Below are 19036 nucleotides of genomic sequence, written 5' to 3'. Positions count from 1 at the left end.
GAACTAACCACCAACCCAAAATCAGGCCAACAGACAAGGTACCTGTTAAAACATAGAAGGAGGGATCACCTGCTCAATAATTACAATCAAAGTGGAAGGGACCATTTTCAGTACTGGCCATGCCTTCTGGGGTCAAAGTACTAGGATTAGATAGTTGGATACATCTTTCTGGTGTCAAGCCTGTGTTATGTGAAGTCCCAGACCGGGAACCTGAAGCTCCCATCAGCCACTACACCTGTGACTTGTGAAAGACCTGAAGTACCTGTTTAAAAGACAGCCAAAAGATAAGTAAAAGCCTACCAACTTTCCTTGGTGTCTTTGTTGCTTAGTTACTTTAAACTGGATAATAGTAGCCATTGTTATACTTCTACAATTTAATTGCTTTCTTCTAAACAAATGGAATAACTTCCTTTGTAATAATTAAGCAAAGTGTTTTAATTAATTCTTATAACAAGCATTCCTGACAGCATAGGTATCCACCCCTGAAGTTCCTATTCTATAGCACAAAATAACAAATAAGTATTTTTTGGTTCCATAATGGTCACCCACAGCCTGTGTATACAGGACCACGCATAATGGGAATCAGCTTTATTTTACAACAGAGCTTCACTTTACCCCTCCAGCAGTTAATGGATTCTGGGTATTTATTAAAAACTTTACATTTAACTCAAAGACAGTTAAATACCACCAGCCCAGCTCTGGCAAAGACTGTTGGCTTTGGTTATCTCCAGCATCATTCAAATACACTACCACCCCAATCCCAGCCCAATCTTTGGCCTTGGGGAAAAAAACATGAACTACGATGACAGGACAAGCAGTAAACCTTCTCCAGTACTATCAGAGTACCCTTTCTGGGGTTGCATCCCACAGAAACCCATTTGGGGCCCAATATCAATGTACACAGAGCTAAAATTCCAGGTGCCACTTTGTATTAAGAGAAGCCAAAATTTTGGTCAGGCCCTGGGAACCTTGAAAAGTCATCAGTGTAACTACACCCTAGAGATTATTAACCCCTCACATGATTACATAAGCTAGGCAGTTACCCAGACTGTGTCATTTAGAAAACCTGTATGGTTTTCATGGAAACCATCCCTAGATAAGGACACTTCAAAGGATACACAGTCTAAGTACTGCCAAGGTAAGCCCACTAGCTATGATCATATTTTCCCTTGGGAAGACTGCACTAATCCTCAGACATCTAGTTATCTTTTGGTTCCCCAGTACGAAACACCTCTGGATGCTTGTTGGTAGACACTAAGCCTAATTACCTCCAATGGGAAAACAGAACTGCTGGGGCAACTCAGAATATTTCCCAAGGTCCTTTCCAGCCTTTAACTGGGGCCACCTTCATAGGGACCTTAACCACTTGGGAAAGTGAAAACAACAAGCTAACCCACATGTTTACCATAGAAAATTCTTGTCTTGAAAAACTAGGAGCCTTTTACCTGTGTGGAACTAGTTCTTACTTATGTTTACCAGCCAATTGGACTAGAACCTTTACACTTGTTTATTTAGCCTGTGAAATTAATATAGCTCCCAAGAACCAATCCCTCATTATACCTTTAACTGCAATTGCCAGACACAAATGAACCATCCAACTCACATCCCTTTTGGTAGGACTACAAATAACCGCGGGACTGGGAATGGGAGTCAGCCGGGTTGTAACATCCCTATCCTATTACCAATGCTTTTCCAAGGATTTTATGGAAAGCTTGAATGACATTGCCCAAAGTAAAAAAGAAAAAATAGAGACATTGGCCAAAGTATCATCACCATACGAAATCAAATAGATGCCTCAGCAGCAGTTGCTTGGCAAAACAGAAGGGGATGAGATCTCCTAACTGCTGTAAAGGGGGGCTTAGGTCTTTTTCTAGAGGAAGAATGCTGTTTTTATGCCGAACAATGAGGATTAGTAACAAATGCCACCCAAAAACTACCCAACTGGGCCTCTAAAATACAACAACAGCTATCTGAGTCATGGGGCTCCTGGTCAAAAATGCTAAGTTGGGGTTCATGGCTCCTTCCTCTGGCCAGCCCATTAGTAATGACTATACTTGCCTTGGTTTTTGGACCATGTTTGTTAAACTCTTAACCAAATTCATTTCCTGTCACCTAGAGACCATCAAGCTTCAGATGATCATGTGACAATGTTTCCAGCCAGTTCCAGGTGGAGACACCACCCCTGGCCATCAAGAAGCTATCCTGTCTCCACTAGACAGGGCGGGGAGAGAGTCCTGTGATTCCCCAGTACGTAGGGACTGTGCCTCAGGTCAGCATAAAGCAGTTACAGAAGAAAGACTATCAATCCCTTTACCTCCCATAAAGATTTATGAGGATCATGTCTTTCGGGGGGAAATGAGGTATGAGAACAGGGTATGGAGGCAAGAAACCTAAGGGTGATTAATGCTGACTTCCTGGAACTGAATCAAAAGGAAAACCCAAACTTTCCATGCCCCAAATAACAAAAGGATCAGAGGCAACCCCCGCCTTCTGTGTCGCAGATGAAAAATGGAAAGTACCTCTTCCTGCAACCAATGAGACTGGTCACTGGCCTAGTTTTCATCTGCATAGAGGTGTAACTTTGTAACTTCACTTCAGCCTCTGTTGGTCACCTTCCCCAACCAATCAGACTAGTTATGGGCCACTACTTCATTTACAGAGGATATAAACCAAGTAACCAATGGGAAACCTCTCGGGATTTAAACCCCAGAAAATTCTGTAACCAGTGCTCTTGAGCTGCTTGCTCCAGACCACTCCCATTGTGTGGAGTGTACTTTCATTTTGATAAATCTATGCTTTTTTTGCTTCATTCTTTCATTGTTTTATGCATTTTGTCCAATTCTTTGTTCAAAATGCCAAGAACCTGCACATCCTCCACCAGTAACACCAGGGGCTGGGGATGAGGGAGGGATGAATGGGTAGAGCACAGAGAATATTTAGGGTAGTGGAACTACTCTGTCTGATACTATAATGGTGGATACATGACATTGTACATTTGTCCAAATGCACAGAATATACAACATCAGGAGTGAAGCCTGGCCAGGTGCAGTGGCTCATACATGTAATCCCAGCACTTTGGGAGGCTGAGGTGGGAGGATCACTTGAGCCCAGGAGTTCAAGACAAGCCTGGGCAACACAGTGACACTCCATCTCTACAAAAAATTTTTACATTAGCCAGGCATGGTGGTGCATGCTGTGGCACCTGAGGCTGGGGTGCAGAGAGGTGGGAGGATCACTTAAGCCCAGAAGGCTTAAGCTATGACTGCATCACTGTCTCAAAAAAAAAAAAAAAAAAAGAAAAAAAAAAGCATGAACCCTATCATAAACTATGGACTTTGGGTGATAATGATGCCTCAAGGGCAAGGGGTAGTGGCTCACGCCTGTAATCCCAGCACTTTGGGAGGCTGAGGGGGGCGCATCATGAGGTCAGGAGATCGAGACCATCCTGGCCAACATGGTGAAACTCTGACTCTACTAAAAATACAAAAATTAGCTGGGCGTGGTGGTGCGTGCCTGTAGTCCCAGTTAGTTGGGAGGTTGAGGCAGGAAAATCACTTGAACCTGGGGGGCGGAGGTTGCAGTGAGCTGAGATCACACCACTGTACGCCAGCCTGGTGACAGAGTGAGACTCTGTCTGGGAAAAAAAAAAAGGATGCCTCAAGATAGGTTTGCCGATTGTAACAGATGTACAATACAAATCCAAGTTGTTAACAGCAGGAGACACTGCATGTGTCTGTAGGACAGCAGACATGGGTGGGAACTCTGCACTTTCTCGTCAACTTACCTATAAACCTAAAACTGCTCTAAAAAATAAAGTCTATTAGCCTGGGCAACATGATGAAACCCTATCTCCATTAAAAATACAAAAATTAATGGCCAGGTGCAGTGGCTCATACCTGTAATCCCGGCACTTTGGGAGGCTGAGGCAGGTGGATCACCTGAGGTCGGGAGTTCGAGACCAGCCTGACCAACATGGAGAAACCCCACCTCTAATAAAAATACAAAATTAGGGCCAGGCGTGATGGCTCACACCTGTAATCTCAGCACTTTGGGAGGCTGAGGCGGGCGGATCATGAGGTCAGGAGATCAAGACCATCCTGGCTAACACGGTGAAACTCTGTCTCCACTAAAAATACAAAAAATTAGCCGGGCATGGTGGACATGCCTGTAATCCCAGCTACTTGGGAGGCTGAGGCAGGAGAATCACTTGAACCTGGGAGGTGGAGGTTGTGGTGAGCCGAGATTGTGCCATTGCACTCCAGTCTGGGCAACAAGAGCGAAACTCCGTCTTAAAAAACAAAAACAAAAACAAAAGAATTAGCCAGGTGTGGCAGTGTGCACCTGTAGTCCAAGCTACTAGGGAGGCTGACGCATGAGAATTGCTTGAGCCAGGGAGATGGGGGCTATAGTGAGCCAAGACAGCGCCACTGCACTTCAGCCTGGGCAACAGAGTAAAACCCTATCTCAAAATAAATAAATAAATACATACATTAATTAAAAAAAAACAAATCAAGTAAAGAGGCCTAAATGGTTGGGATGATGAACATGTTCTAGAACTGATTGTGGTGAGGGTTCCACACTCAGGGAAGACACTGGAAGCCATGAACTGCATACTTCGAATTGGTGAACTCCTTTGAATGGGTGAACTGCTGCAAAGAGCACCCAAGGAGGCTTCCTCCAAACAAGGCTCCCTCCTTGGCCCCTGGGGCCCTGCGGAGAGCTCTCTGTCCAAGCTTGTTAAACGTTGAGCTGCTCACCACAAGGTCTGCTCTTACCTCGGGGGGCCTCCTGCTCTGCCCTGCACAGGTCCTCTTCTTGCTCCAGCTGAGAGATCACATCAGATTTGGAAAGGAAAAGCCCTGGTCAAAGACGGAAAAAGGACTTGCCCCTCTGCTTGGACACCAAGAACCATGTCCTGGGTCCAAGCTTCAGCCCCTAGTGCTGTCCCGAGGAAACTCCCCACTGTTAGGACTACAAGTCACAAACCTGTCCCAGAGATAGAATGAAGGGCAACCCCTGGGAACTGCACCTGAAAGGGACCTGCTTCCAGTATCTTCCAGCACATCCCAGAACACCCTTCAGAACTTGGTACAGCTTTGAGTCCTAGGGGTAGAACCTCCTTCCATGAGCACAGCCACTTACCCAGGGAGACAATATGCTCCCAGGTCTCCAGTGTCACCTCTCGGTACAGTGTCCTCTGGGCCAGGTCCAGCTGTTCCCACTCCTCCTGTGTGAATGCCATAGCCACATCCTCGAAGCACACAGATGCCTGAAACAGGGCACTTGTTACTGCTCAGAGACCCCAGGTCCTCATGCCCTCACGGAGGTACCTGTTAAGGCCTAAATGTTGGTGTCCCCCCGTAAAATTCATACATTGGAACCTAATACCCAGTGAGATAGTGTTAAGAGGTGGGGTCTTTACAAGGCAATTAATGTCCTCATAAAAGAGGCTTGAGGGAGCCTGTGTTCACCTTCTACCATATGAGGACATGTAAGAGGTGCCATCTATGAGACAGCAGGCCCCAACCAGACCAACTCTGTTGACACATTGATCTTGGACTTACCAGCCTCCAGAACTATGAGCAGTCAATTCTGTTGTTTGTAAATTGCTCACTCTAAGGTATCTTATTATAGCAACCCAAACGGACTGGGACAGCTCCATGTATGTGGTCTGTACCATTCCTTTTCTGGGCATCTCACCTCTTGCCAGTCACAGCAGTGGTCCTGATTTCTAGACTGGAAATGACAGGAACTCCACTAGGAGATCCTCACCCACTTCCTCTCTACAAAAATCACAGATTCGAAATGAGGTAAGAAAGACACTCTAAATCGGGGTGGGAAAACTGCAGCCTGTAGGACAAATCAGGGCTGTGGTGTGTTTTCAAAAGGCTAATGCTATAGAATAAACTGTGTTCCCAAAATTCACATGTTGAACCCTAACTCCCAAAGTGACTGTTGAAGAAGGTGATTGACCGGGCACGGTGGCTCACGCCTGTAATCCCAGCACTTTGGGAGGCCGAGGCGGGCAGATCACAAGGTCAGGAGTTCGAGACCAGCCTGGCCAACATGGTGAAACCCCGTCTCTACTAAAAATACAAAAATTAGCCAGGCATGGTGGCACATGCCTGTAATCCCAGCTACTCTTCCTGGCTGCAGCAGGAGAATCGCTTGAACCTGGAGGCAGAGGTTGCAGTGAGCTGAGATCGCGCCATTGTACTCCAGCCTGGGTGACAGGGTGAGACTCCATCTCAAAAGAAAAAAAAAAAAAAAACCCCACAAACAAGGTGATTAATTTTAACTGTTTAAGAACTGTTCAAGAAGGTGACAGGGGGTCGGGCGCGGTGGTTCATGCCTGTAATCCCAACACTTTGGGAGGCCGAGATGGGTGGATTACTTGAGGTCAGGAGTTCGAAACCAGCCTGGCCAACATGGTGAAATCCCATCTCTACAAAAAATTAGCTGGGTGTGGTGGCGGGCACCTGTAATCCCAGCTACTTGGGAGGCCGAGGCAGGAGAATTGCTTGAAACCAGGAGGCGGAGTTGCAGTGAGCTGAGATTGTGCCACTGCACTCCAGCCTGGGCAACAGAGCGAGACTCCGTTTCAAAAAAAAAAAATGGTGATTAAGATTAAATGAAGTCACAAGGGTGGGACCCTAATCCAATAGGACTAGAGTCCTTATAAGAAGAGGAAGAGGCTGCGCATGGTGGCTCACGCCTGTGATTCCAGCACTTTGGGAGGCCGAGGCTGAAGCATCTCTTGAGTCCAGGAGTTTGAGACCAGCCTGAGCAACATGGCAAAACCCTGTCCCCACTAAAAATATAATAAATTAGTCAAGCATGCTGGTGCATGCCTGTAGTCCCAGATACTGGAGAGGCTGAGGTGGGAGGATCGCTTGAGCCCAGGAGTTCAAGGCTGCTGTGAGCCAAGATCATGCCGCTGCACTCCAGCCTGGGCAATAGAGGGAGATCCTACGTCAAAAAATAAAATAAGAAGAGGAAAAGACACTAAAGGGCATGTGTGCTCTCACTCTCTCTCCTCACTACATAAAGACACAGTCGGACAACGGCTGTCTGCAAGCCAGGAAGAGAGGGCCCTCACCATTTACAGGGGACTCTGCAGGTAGGTAACTACAGTGCTTTAAGGGGACACTCCCCCAGCCAGGGGTGTCCGTGAGGATTGAGGGCCCAGTGTGGCTGTCGGGGTGTGGGGCTAGCTCCATCCACCCTCAAGGGCCTGAGGAGCAACCACAAGCAGAATGTCGGAAGCACAGACCTGGCCTGGTGGAACAGGCATGGGAGACTTGCGCTGGGTCTAGTGCAGGGAGCTCTAGGCTCGTCCATGCTGGTGACGGGTGCCGCGCTTTACTGCAGGGAGCTGGAGCATTTCACTGGGAAGCACTGGCCAGCACTGCGGAGCGCTCCTGTGTGACAGCCTGCAGGGGCGGGTGCTATTCCTGGACCCATTTTACATCTATGGAGACCAAGGCACTGAGAGCAAAGACCCCCCACTCACCTGGGGTGGAACCAGCATAGAACGTGCTTCCATTTCCTCCCTGCACCTGAAGAGGCCGCTGTGTAGAGGGCAGAGGTCCTCAGAAGACCAGTCTGGGGTGGAAAACAAGCAGAGATTCAGCCCCTCGGCTCCTGCAAACCTCCAGGGCCAACACCCACCCTAGAGAACGCGGGGCCGGCCACAAGCAGGGCTTCCCAGGTGCGGGAATGGGCCTCACGCCTGGGGACCTGGGCTACCTCAGGCTCGGGGATGTGCCCAGTCATGTGCTGGGCGTCTCAGCTGTGAGTCCAGACACGCAGCAGCCCCCTCAACAGTCAAGGGCAAGGAGGGGCATTTTTCCTATCATTTCGTGACTAAGGAAGGGAGGTGGAGGCCAGGTGTCTAAGTAATTGTACATTTAGCATATCACAATGGATCATAAGCTGTTTTCAGAAATGATGACAATGGGGGTGTGGGGACAAGGAGGATGTGACACTCCCCAGCAGGGCGGCGCAGGGAACTTCCCTCGGCTCTGGGAGGGGGTGTTGTACAGGGATGCCCTCCCTCGGTCTCAGCTGGAAGTACCAGGATGCTGCCTACTGCCAGGGCATGCCTGTCACCCTCTCTACTGAACTCAGTCACCAAACCCTTCATATCTTCTGCTTGTCTAATCCCCTTGCAGCAGTCACATCACTGTCCTACCGAGAGTTTGGCAAAAACCCTCTTGAATGTGGCACCAAACCCTTCCACACATCTGACTCCCATCGCCACATCGGCACTGAAGCACACCCTCTGCAGGCACCAACAGGTTACTCGAGACCACTGAACATTCCAGAAGCGCATCCTGTATCTCTGCCTTTGCTCATATGACTACGCTCACTCGACCTGATGGTGCCTTTCATTTGCACAATGCTTTCTAGTTCATGAAGAGCCTTGAACTCTGACCCCAAAGGCCAGCATGGTGGCTCAGGCCAGGAATCCCAACACTTTGGGAGGCTGAAGCAGGCAGACTGCTTGAGTCCAAGAGTTCAAGACCAGCCTAGGCAACAAAGTGAGACCCCCCTCTCTATAAAAACGTTAGCCAGCCAGGTGCGGTGGCTCACGCGTGTAATCCCAGCACTTTGGGAGGCTGAGGCGGGCAGATCACAAGGTCAGGAGTTCAAGACCAGCCTGGCCAAGATGGTGAAACCGTCTCTACTAAAAATACAAAAATTAGCCAGGCATGGTGACGTGTGCCTGCAATCCCAGCTACCCAGAAGGCTGAGGCAGGAGAATCCCTTGAACCCGGGGGGCGGGAAGTTTTAGTGAGCCGAGATTGCACCCCTGCACTCCAGCCTGGGCAACAGGGTAAGACATTGTCTCAAAACAAAACAAAACAAAACAAAGAAAACACAAAACGTTAGCCGGGCATGGTCTGAGGTCCCAGCAACTGGTGGGGGTAGGGGCTGAGATGAGATGATCGCATGAGCCCTAGAGGTCAAGGTTGCAGTGAGCTGAGATCACACCACTGGACTCCAGCCTGGGCAACAGAGCAAGACCCTGTCTCAAAAAAAAAAAAGCGAAACAACTCCCATTTGGGCTAGAAGAGCAGATAAAGGCAGCCCCTGCAGACGCTGAACACTTATCATTCTCCCAGGTTTGAACGCTGGCATTTTTCTTGCCCCATAGTCTCAGACAAAAAAAAAAAAATTCCCTGGAATATCAAGTATCAAGCCATGAATTGCAGAAATCTTGCTTTCTCTGTGCTGTATTTTTTAGGCAGTTCTCACCTTTCCCTTCAAAGGCTTGGGAAACCTCTTCCACCAGCATCATCTCCTGCAGATGTTGCGGTGCTGGGGACTCACTCTGGCCAGGAACACAGAGCCTAAGCATGGGCCACCTCACAGCAGCCTCAACACTCGCAGCTGCTGGGACTTCACCCCAGCGATGCTCTCATTTCCCAGGCAATCTCTTCTGAGAACTCTCCTGCTCTCAAACACTTCTGGTGCCTGAGGCCTCCTTTCCTACGCTGAATTCTGCAGGAATACTCTCCCCTCTAGGCATGAGCTTCGCAGGTCCTAATCTCTCTTCTGAACAGACACATAACATTCTTCAGGCAAATCAAGCACTCAAGTCCTCCAAGAACAAGCACAAAGAGAGAGAGAGAGAGAGAGAGAAGTGAACAGCAAATTCAGTGCTGAAACAGAAGACAAAGACAACGCAATGCCAAGAACTGCATGCGACCTCAGTGCCAGGGGGAGGACAGACAAGGCACCAACATACACAAAAGACATGGAATGTAGGCTGGGCGTGGTGGCTCATGCCTATAATCCCAGCACTTTGGGAGGCCGAGGCGGGCGGATCACGAGGTCAGGAGGTCGAGACCATCTTGGCTAACACGGTGAAACCCTGTCTCTACTAAAAAATACAAAAAAATTAGCCGGTGTGGTGGCGGGCGCCTGTAGTCCCAGCTACTCAGGAGGCCGAAGCAGGAAAATAGCGTGAACCCAGGAGGCGGAGCTTGCAGTGAGCTGAGATCGCACTACTGCACTCCAGCCTGGGTGACAGAGCGAGACTCCACCTCAAAAAAAAAAAAAAAGAAATGGAATGTGAATGATTAGAATTGCTATCAGATGACAAGTTTGGGGAGGAGGCATTCACACCCTACCAAAAAAGGTTTAAAGTATAACATAAGTTATGACAAAATATTCAACTTGCAAGACAGAGTTGGTGTATGTACACATTTACCTGACTCCCAACATTAAACTTACTCAAAAGAACAAAGTGGGCCAGGCACATTGGCTCACGCCTGTAATCCCAACATTTTGGGAGGCCAAGGCGGAAGCATCGTTTGAGCCCAGGAGTTCGAGAACTGCCTGGGCAACACAGTGAGACCCTATCTCTACAAAAAAAAAAAAATATATATATATATATATTTAAATATATATATATATTTTAAATTGGCTGGCCATGGTGGTGCATGCCTGTGGTCCCAAGTTCTTGAGAGACTGAGGCAGGATGATTGCTTGAGCCCAGGAGGTTGAGATTGCAGTGAGTAGTGATCGTGCCACCACACTCCAGCCTCGGTGACAGAATGAGACCCTGTCTCAAACAACAACAATAACAAAAAGAAAAGAAAAGAGAAGGAGAAAGAGAAACAGAAGGAGAAAAAGAAAAAGAAAAAAATGACCCCTACCCCAAAAAGGTAAATGCTAAACCCATCATTCCATGATACTGGAATGTTCACACTGCCACATCACACACACATTACAGGGAATGTGCAGGGCTGGTTTAGTAAGCCTGGGTTGTCCACACCCTGTACTTTCTTTTTTTTTTTGAGATGGAGTTTCACTCTGTTGCCCAGGCTGGAGTGTGGTAGCACGATCTCAGCTCACTGCAACCTCCGCCTCCCAGGTTCAAGCGATTCTCCTGCCTCAGCCTCTTGAGTAGCTGGGATCACAGGCGCGCATCACAATGCCCAGCTAATTTTTGTATTTTTTAAGCAGAAGCGGGGTTTCAGGATGTTGTCCAGGCTGGTCTCAAACTCCTGACCTCAAGTCATGCCTATAATCCCAGCACTTTGGGAGGCTGAGGTGTGCAGATCACGAGGTCAGGAGATAGAGACCATCCTGGCTAACATGATGAAACCCCATCTCTACTAAAAATACAAAAAATTAGACGGGCGTGGTGGTGGGTGCCTGTAGTGCCAGCTACTCGGGAAGTTGAGGCAGGAGAATGGCGTGAACCCGGGAGGCGGAGCTTGCAGTGAGCAGAGATCAGGCCACTGCACTCCAGCCTGGGCGACAGAGCAAAACTCTGTCTCCAAAAAAAAAAAAAGAAAGAAAAAGAAAGGTCTGATCCTTGACTGGCTGTAACCTCTGAGCCCTTGGGATATCCCGCCTGTTAAAATGTCTCTGCCTGCCAGGGGCACTGGGCCATGGTGTATTAGGGGGATCTCTGGAGGGCCTGAGTAACCAAAGTAATTTATATAGGCTCCATGCCTACATAACACATCCCTCAATAAAGAAACCTAAGCACCAAGGCTTGGGTGAGCTTCCTGGTCCACATGGTCGTTTGGAGAATTAAGCACTGTCTACGCAACTCCACTGGGAGCTGAATGAGCTGAATGCTGGTCCTGGTCTCTCCCGGACTCCCGTTTACATGCGTGCCTTTGACCACTGTAATTTTTTTTTTTTTTTTGAGATGGAGTCTTGCTCTGTTGCCCAGGCTGGAGTGTAGTGGCGCAATCTTGGGTCACTGCAACCTCAGTCTCCTGGGTTCAAGCGATTCTCCTGTCTCAGCCTCCCAAGTAACTGGGACTACAAGTGCAAGCCACCACACCTGGCTAATTTTTGTATTTTTAGTAAAGACGGGGTTTTACCATGTTGGCCAGGCTGGGCTCAAACTCCTGACCTCGGGCGATCCGCCCACCCCGGCCTCCCAAAGTGCTGGGATTATAGGCATGAGCCACCATGCCTGGCCTTGTAATTTTAATCTGTATCTTTTCAATGTACTAAACTGTAACTGTGAATATAAGAGCTTTTCAGAGTTCTGAGTCCATCTGGTCAACCTGAGAATGGTCTCAAGGACCCGCACACAGTGAACACCAGGCTTACTTAAAGAAACAGGCCTTCAGGAATTTCAAGAAAAGTGGGCCATTTCTTCACAGCAGAGGTCCTCAACTGGGGGCAGTTTTGCTTTCCGGGAACATTGGCCATGTTTGAAGACAGTTTCCAGAGTTTGGTGGGAGTGGAGGGGGGAAGAGGTGTAGAAGGGGACAGCTACTGGCTGCAATCTGGTGGGCAGAGGCCAGGAAGGTGTAAAACATTCTACAGCTCATGGGGCAGCCCTAGAGGATGATCTGGCCCCAAATGCTGACTGTGCTGAGCTGAGAAATGGCTTTACAGGGAGGAAGAACCTTGCGGGCAAGCCTGTGTCAGGCACAGGACTCTTAAGCCTGAGGCCAACCTCACACATCAGCAGATGTGAAGAAAACCTGCAGCCACAGAGCACCCAGCCCTGTTTATTTTCACCACCTTCTCTTCCTGAACGCGAAGGAGAACTCAGAGGCCAGTCAGGACACACTAACAGCAAATGCTGAACACTCTTGCCTCCCCTGCACAAGGAGAAGAAACTCACCCTGATGCCACCAAACCTGTGTCCTGTGTCCCCTCCCTGTTCTGCCTGTCCCTTTGCATGCTGATCAGGGCATTGTAATTTTTTTTTTTTTTTTACCGTGACTTAGTGGGTTGAATGATGGCCATATCCTAATCCCTACAACCTGTGAATATGTGACCCTACATGGAAAGGAAAGACCCACGTTGAGGATCTTTAGATGGGGAGACTGTTGGGGTCACCACAATGATCCCTACAATGAGGGAGGTGGGAGGACCAGAGACAGAGGAGGAGAAGTGACAACAACGGGAGGCTCCTGAGCCAGAAACCCACACCCACTCTGTACTGAGCGCACAGCAGACCCTCACGTACGCACTCCTCTGCCTGGAAGCCTGTGACATCGATGCTCACACGTGTACTGAGCAGTGAGAGGGGAAGTCCTTCCTGACGCCTCCTGCGTGCTCTCCTCACATTCAGCCAAAACCCTGTGTCCCCGTCTTCCAGGCACTATGCACCGCTCCACAAGCCTGCCCCATGCCTGGCTCAGCCACTGTTTCTTGTGCGGGTTACCACGGTGGGTTTGATGGGGTCCTGCCTTTGACTTTTCTCCTCTCTCCCAGGAAGCCGCAGGGACACCACAGAATGAAGCCTGTGTCACAGAACCCTGTGGAGTGCCAGCTTTTCGCTGCCCTTAGGAGAAAGCCCAAATTCCTCCACAATCTCCAGATATCCCTTCCCAGATTAAAAATCTCAGCCAGGCGTGGTAACTCACACCTGTAATCCCAGCACTCTGGGAGGCCAAGGCTGGTGGATCACCTGAGGTCAGGAGTTCAAGACCAGCCTGACCAACATGGTGAAACCCCGTCTCTACCAAAAATACAAAATTAGCCGGGCGTGGTGGTGCACGTCTGTAATCCCAGCTACTCAGGAGGCTGAGGCAGGAGAATCACTTGAACCCAGGAGGCAGAGGTTGCAGTGAGCTGAGATCGTGCCATTGCACTCCAGTCTGAGCAACAAGAGAAGTTTTAAAAATCTCCAGACACTCCCCACAGACCTTGTGACGTCTGTCAGTCTCATGGAACACCTTCCAGCTCCCCGGCCCCACAACACCCCACCTCCAGACGCATTTTCAGGCTTCTCTATCCTCGGGTGGCTCCGCACCTTGCTGCCTCCCCAGGCCCTGCCTCCATGCCGAATACTGGCCATGCCAACAAAGCTCCAGGCTTCTGGCACAGGTCACACACTGGGGTGTCTGCTGCACTCCAACAGCATTTAAGACACAAAAGGAAAATATGAGGAAGACAGGGAAGATAAAAAGCAGCTTGGAAGTCTCCATGGATGAGTGGGGAAAAAAAGCAAAAAGAAGGTGGGTGTGAGGGTCCTACCTGTAGCTGGAAGGGCCCCTCGGACCGCTGGCGGGGCAAGGGTCTGGCTCCGTCAGCCCGTGAGGTGAGCCGCCCTCCAGGCCAGGCTGTGCCTAACACTAGGCCCCAAGATGAAATCAGAGCCACAGCACTCGCAGAGGCTGCCAGGACCAGCAAGCTGCCGGCCTGGAGCGGCTCAGTGTCTTGTGGCCCCTGTAACCAATTTCCACAAAATTGTTGGCTTAAGATGAACAGAAGCTTGAGGCCAGGCGTGGTGGCTCATACCTGTAAACTCTGGGCAGCAGAGGCAGGCGGACTGCTTGAGCCGAGGAGATCAAGACAAGCCTAGGCAACATGGCAAAACCCCGTCTCTACAAAAAATACAAAAATTAGCCAGGTGTGGTGGCGCACACCTGTAGTCCCAGCTACCTGGGAGGCTGAGGCGGGAAGATTGCTGGAGCCTGGGAACAGACGCTGCAGTGAGCCAAGATCACACCGCTGCACTCCAGCCTGGGTGACAGAGTAAAACCCTATGTGGGGAAAAAAAAAAAAAAAAAGGTAAAAAGTTTCATAGAATGAGGCCAGGTGTGGTGGCTCACTTCCGTAATCCCAGCACTTAGGAAGGCCGAGGCGTGTGGATCACTTGAGGTCAGGAGATCAAGACCAGCCTGGTTAACATGGTGAAACCCTGTCTACTAAAAATACAAAAAATTAGCTGGGCATGGTGGCGCGCACCTGTAGTCTCAGCTACTTGGGAGGCTGAGGCACGAGAATTGTTTGAACCCGGGGAATGGAGGTTGCAGTGAGCTGAGATCCCGCCACTGCACTCCAGCCTGGGCAATGGAGAGAGACTCTGTCTTAAAAAAAAAAAAAAAGTTTCACAGAATGATACATACACACAAATGGAGGCTTAAAAATGCTAAATAAGGTCTACAGTCTAAGTAACAATATGTATCGATGTCAATGTCTGGCTTGTGAAAGATGTCACTCTCTGGAAAAGCTGGGTGAAGGGCACACAAGATACTCTGTACTATTTTGCAGCTTCCTATAAGTATATATCTCAAAATGATGGCTTTTTGTTTGTTTGTTTCTGTTTTCTTTCTTTTTTTTTTTTTTTGAGACACAGTTTCACTCTTGTTGCCCAGGCTGGAGTGCAATGGCGCCAAGCGATCTCGGCTCACTGCAACCTCCGCCTCCAGGGTTCAAGCGATTCTCCTGCCTCAGCCTCCGAGTAGCTGGGATTACAGGTATGCGCCACCACCCTGGCTAATTTTGTATTTTAAGCAGAGACGGGGTTTCTCCATGTTGGTTAGGCTGGTCTTGAACTCCCGACCTCAGGTGATCTGCCCGCCTCGGCCTCCCAAAGTGCTAGCATTGCGTGAGTCACCGTGCCTGGCTGTTTCTGTTTTCAAAATAGAGATGGGGTTTCATCATGTTGCCCAGGCTGGTCTCAAACTCTTGGGCTCAAGCAATCCACCTGCCTTGGCCTCCCAAAGTGCTGGGATTACAGGCATGAGCCACTATGCCCAGACATGAAGTTGTTTTTTTGTTTTTTTTTTGAGACAGAGTTTCACTCTTGTTACCCAGGCTGGAGTGCAATGGCATGATCTCGGCTCACTGCAACCTCCACCTCCTGGGTTCAAGCGATTCTCCTGCCTCAGCCTCCCGAGTAGCTGGGATTACAGGCATGTGCCACCATGTCTGGCTAATTTTGTATTTCTAGTAGAGACAGGGTTTCTCCATGTTGGTCAGGCTGGTCTCAAACTCCCGACCTCAAGTGATCCACCTGCCTCAGCCTCCCAAAGTGCTGAGATTACAGGCATGAGCCATCAAGCCCGGCCTATGAAGTTGTTTTTTAATCACACAAATTTTAAAGTTAATTTATTTTTTAATTGACAAATACAAACTGTATATATTTGTCATGTACAATATATTTAGAAATACATATGCACTATAGAATGGCTAAATTGAGGTAATTAACATATGCATTCACATACTTTTTTGTGGTGGGAATATTTTACTTTCTTAGCAATTTTCAAGCATATAAGAGATTATTAACTATAGCCACCACGATGTATAAATCACACACATTTTAGGTTAATTGCATAAAAAGTCAAAGATGTAAATAGCTAAAAGTAACAATAATAAATAATCCAACATCTTAAGAGACAGCCACTGTTACTATTTTGTGCCTACCGTCATGTGCCCCATAATGACGTTCTGGTCAGTGACAGACCGCAGATATGATAGTGGTCCCATATGATTACAATGGAGCTACCCTATACAGGTGGGCCATTTTTTATCTTTTATACCATATTTTTACCGTACCTTTTCTATGTTTAGATATATTTACATATACAAATTCTCACCATTGTGTTATAGTTGCCAATAGTATTCACTACAATAACACGCTGTGTAGCTTTGCAGCCTAGCAGCAAGAGGCTGTACCACATAACTTGTATGTGTATTAGACTATAACCATGTAGGTCTGTGTAAGCACACTGATGATGTTCACACAACAAAGTCACCTAACGACACATTTCGGAACATATCCCCATTATTATGGACTGGTAACTGCATGTCCTTTGAGAAATCTTCCTTAAAACAAACAAACAAAAAACAACAAAAAGAGAGAGAAATCTTCCTGTGTCAATACACACATGTTCACTAATCACCATAATGCATTTCTAGAAAAATGTGATTATAATGTAAACACTCTTTTGAAACTTAGCATTGTAAAGTATCTCCCAATGCCAATAAACAATTTTTGTAATAGCTGTAATCACTGTAATAGCTGAATTTGATGAATGGACTGTAGTTTATTAATAGTCCCAGCTTTAAAGAGTTTAATGTTTCTGAATATTTAGGAGTTTTCCAAATTTCACCCTCACATCAGCCCTATAATGGCCACTCTTGCTTTCATACATGCCTCCCTTTCTGCATGTGTATGTTTAGGTTAAATATTCAAAAGCAGAATTGCCAGACAGCTCGCAGAATGCTGCACGCAGGTACACAGGCAAAGGGAAGAACTGCTCCTTGAGCTATCCTAACACAGTAAGAGAGGAAAAGCAGCAGTGTCACCATCAACGATGATTAACTCTGGGCTCACTCCAAGTGCCAGGCTCCAGGCCAGGGATGTAAGTGGGACCCAGACCCAGCAAGGGCACAACCCTGGCCTGTGGGGCCTTTTCCCAGGTAGCAGGGAGGCCACATGAGCAAACAGGCAACAACAATGAAGTGCAGTCAGCATGGGATCAAGGAAAGACAACAGTTCTAGGCCCACAAGATGAGGTTAAGGGAAGGGAGGCACCCCAATGCACAGGCAGAAGCTGAGGCAGATTGGAAACCTCACCCCAGAGACTGGAACGACCCTGGCCCATCCCGTGACCTGAGCATAGAGAAAGGCAAGGGCCACAGCTAGAGAAAGTCCCATACAAGTTTAGATTCTATCTCAGAGAGAGAGAAGGCATTGCTGGGCTTATGTAGATGTTGGCAGGCTGGAGAGTGGACTGTGGGGAGTAAAGGTGGAATGAGGAGAAGAAGTGGCTATCACCAAAGGCCAGGACTCAAGGGACAGCAAAATGGAGAGAAGTGGGCAGATTCATTCTTTACATTGGAAGTATAATCAGTTATGCAATAGAATTGGGAGTGGAGGCTAAATAATGACATCTCTTTCTAGATTCAAGAACTTGGGAAAGTTTATATCTTTTCCCAGAGTGAACAAGTAGGAGGAGGGGAATCAAGACATGTTAAGGCTGGACACAATTTCCAAGTGGGAATGTTACACAGGCAGTTACGTTTGCCAGCCTGAAGCCCAGAGAAGATACTGGGGCACCACAGTAAAGATATTTAAGTCCATGAGACTCAGCAGCACTTAAACTAAACAGGAACAATCAAGTTACAGAGAGGGAACAGGACTCAGGACCAAGGGAATTCAATGATTTACAGATCTAATATAGGAGGGGCCTTGTGTACACAGAAGAAAATCTGGGTCTTTAAATTTTCTGTGGGCAGAATATATTACAGACAGAAGTGTGTAGATAAATCTATAACCTACCTTGACACCATACTTAAAATAATTTATTATACTCTATTTTGTCTTCCTGATCAAATTCTAAGACATGTGTTGAAGTTTCTCATATAGTCCTTCTCATATTTCCTTTAAGTACACAATTTTTGCTTTATATCTATGCTATGGTGTCTGGTCCATAAACATTCAAGATTAATGTATCTTGTTCCTATAGCCTTTTATCACTAAAGAGGTGATAAGGCCAGGCCTTAATCCTGTAATCATGCCTGTAATCCCAGCACTTTTGGAGGCTGATGTGGTTGGCAGTGTCCCCACCTATATCTCCTCTTGAATTGTAGCTCCCATAATTCCCACGTGTCATGTTGTGGGAGGGACTCAGTGGAAGGTAACTGAGTCATGGGGGCAGGTCTTTTCCTTGCTGTTCTTATGACAGTTTCACGAGATCTGACGCTTTTACAAAGAGGAGCTCCCCTGCACACACCCTCTTGCCTGCTGCCATGCAAGGTGTGACTTTGCTTCTCCTTCGCCTTCCGCCATGATTGTGAGACCTCCCCAGCTATGTGGAACTGTGAGTCAATTAAACCTCTTTCCTTTATAAATTACCCAGTCTTGGGTATGTCTTTTTTTTTTTTTTTTTTTTTTTGAGATGGAGTCTCTCTCTGTCGCCCAGGCTGGAGTGCAGTGGCACGATCTCGGCTCACTGCAAGCTCCGCCTCCCAGGTTCATGCCATTCTCCTGCCTCAGCCTCCAGAGTAGCTGGGACTACAGGCTCCCGCCATCACGCCCAGCTAATTTTTTGTATTTTTTTTTTTTTTTTTTTTTTTAGTAGAGACGGGGTTTCCCCATGTTAGCCAGGATGGTCTCAATCTCCTGACCTTGTGATCCGGCCGCCTCGGCCTCCCAAAGTGCTGGGATTACAGGCGTGAGCCACCGCGCCCGGCCCGGATATGTCTTTATTAGCATGAGAACAGACTAATACAGAGGTCAAAGCAGGAAGACTGCTTGAGCCTAGAAGTTGGAGACTAGCTTGGACAACTAAGTGAGACCAAGTCTCTA

General features: G+C 47.9%; 1 protein-coding gene across 60 annotated transcripts in view; it reads right to left on the bottom strand.

Annotated features, from left to right (window-relative positions):
• ZNF544 (zinc finger protein 544) overlaps nucleotides 1-19036 on the bottom strand; it is a 48542-nt gene that overhangs the window by 25886 nt on the left and 3620 nt on the right. For 21 of the 60 annotated variants that reach the window (NM_001387419.1, NM_001387400.1, NM_001387398.1 and 18 more), the window contains 3 exons: nucleotides 7514-7605; nucleotides 5143-5269; nucleotides 4776-4859 (listed from right to left, as the gene is read on the bottom strand). In NM_001387419.1, coding sequence (NP_001374348.1) covers nucleotides 4776-4859; nucleotides 5143-5269; nucleotides 7514-7546 — 244 coding nt within the window. In that variant the 5' untranslated portion in view covers nucleotides 7547-7605. Of the gene's footprint in view, nucleotides 1-414; nucleotides 4289-4528; nucleotides 4860-5142; nucleotides 5270-5700; nucleotides 5784-7513; nucleotides 7606-9261; nucleotides 9608-14235; nucleotides 14322-19036 lie in introns of those variants that run through there. The other 39 variants (NM_001387421.1, NM_001387428.1, NM_001387435.1 and 36 more) reach the window with 15 other exon arrangements.

This window comes from Homo sapiens, chromosome 19 (assembly GCF_000001405.40).
Source record: "Homo sapiens chromosome 19, GRCh38.p14 Primary Assembly".
In the NCBI taxonomy this organism is placed as follows: domain Eukaryota; kingdom Metazoa; phylum Chordata; class Mammalia; order Primates; family Hominidae; genus Homo; species Homo sapiens.
The sequence above is the reverse complement of the archived record's forward strand: the minus strand, read 5'-3'. Positions and strand labels throughout refer to the sequence as shown.